This window comes from Homo sapiens, chromosome 17, assembly GCF_000001405.40.
Source record: "Homo sapiens chromosome 17, GRCh38.p14 Primary Assembly".
NCBI classification, from domain to species: Eukaryota; Metazoa; Chordata; class Mammalia; order Primates; family Hominidae; genus Homo; species Homo sapiens.
In genome coordinates this window covers 10,860,081-10,861,786 of record NC_000017.11, presented here as the reverse complement: position 1 = coordinate 10,861,786, position 1,706 = coordinate 10,860,081, and the positions used below count along the sequence as shown (strand labels likewise).

The window sequence follows — 1,706 nt, the reverse complement described above, 5'->3', positions numbered from 1 at the left end:
TGATGCTTCTCCCCAAGGGCATCGATGTCATTTAGCCATGGGCACGGCCAAGGTACTGAGGACTCAAAAATGACCTTGATAACGACAACAAGGATGCCGTGTCACAAGGCATCTGGACCAGACGTGAAACTTTAGCTGATGCTGATGGGAGTCCGGGTGAGGAAACCTGCAGCCAATGCAGCCAAGGCGATCAGGAGGCAGCGGGCAAGGGGTGCAGGAAGAGGGGCTTTGATGGTGGCTGTTTGCCAGTTGGCACAGAGCATTTCTGCATTTCAGTAATTCCAACGGCCTTTCCATCTGGCGGCAGCCATCCAGTAAGCCAAGATGGGTACACACAAAGATCTCCAGGAGCCACGGAGGAAGAAGCAGTCTGATGTAATGCAGTTTCTTCTAAGGGTTATAAGGCCAAGGAAGGTTACAAGAGCACCAGAAGAAAAGGGGCTAAGGACCGGTCCTGGGAATTCCAACTTTTAATTGTTTGAGTAGCCCACAATGTGGACTGAGAAGAATGCACTTTCTTCTGAGAGTTACAAGGCCAAGCAAAGTTACAGGACACGAGAAGACTAAAGGAGTTTTCAGGCTAGTGGACAGACATGTTAGCAAAAACATATAGTACCATAATGGGTTGTTTAACTGGACCCATTTCAGTAAAACCCTTTCAGTTATTTCCCCTGGCCTCTTAGGAGTGTTTGTCAAAGACAACATTTCCATTCATTCTGAAACATTCGCTTAGTGTGACTCTCTCTTCTGGGTTCTTTCCCATCCCTCAAGTCAGATACAAAGCGCATGGACTGGGATAGAAGGCCAAGTCAGGTTACATTATATATAGGATTCACGTGCGCCATGGTGGTGGAAAACACCCAGTTCCTACGGGTGCAACTTACAGCAAGCCTGTCCATCCTGGTGTTAACCAGCTAAAGTTTGCTCGAAGCCTTCGGTTCATTGCAGAGGAGTGAGCTGGATGCTACTGTGGGCCTCTAAGAGGCCTGAATTCTCACTGGGTTGGTAAAGATTCCTCATACAAATTTTTTGAGGTTATCCTCATTGATACATTCCATAAAGCTGTCAGAAGAAATCCTGACACCCTGTGAATCACCATACCAGTCCACAAGCACAGGAAGATGAATGGGCTGATAGCTGCAGGCTGAAAGAGCTGTGGCCTTGGAAAGGGCCGTAAGTTCCACCACACTATTAGTGGTTCTCGCCGTGCAGCTTGGAGAAGGTGCAATACTCTCTGGCTCCACCGTTACCGCTAATATAAGTAATGTTTGTAAAATTCACACCTAAGAAACAATTTAGGACAGTCAAAGAAAAACCTCCAATGGCCAAACCTCTTTGCACTTGCTGATGTGCCAGCAGCCCAAGGCATACCAGCTCAGGCTATTACGCTTCTCCCTATTTAACAGATTAAGAAACTGCAGTTTACATTTGACCCAGCCATCCTGTTCCTGGGTATATACCCAAAGGATTACAAATCATGCTGCTATAAAGACACATGCACATGTATGTTTATTGTGGCGCTATTCACAATAGCAAATACTTGGAACCAACCCAAATGTCCATCAATGATAGACTGAATTAAGAAAATGTGGCACGTATACACCATGGAATACTATGCAGCCATAAAAAAGGATGAGTTCTTGTCCTTTGTAGGAACATGGATGAAGCTGGAAACCATCATTCTCAGCAAACTATCGCAAGGGCAA

General features: G+C 46.0%; 1 pseudogene; it reads left to right on the top strand.

Annotated features, from left to right (window-relative positions):
* Window positions 289-1,307, top strand: RPL15P21 (ribosomal protein L15 pseudogene 21; annotated as a pseudogene).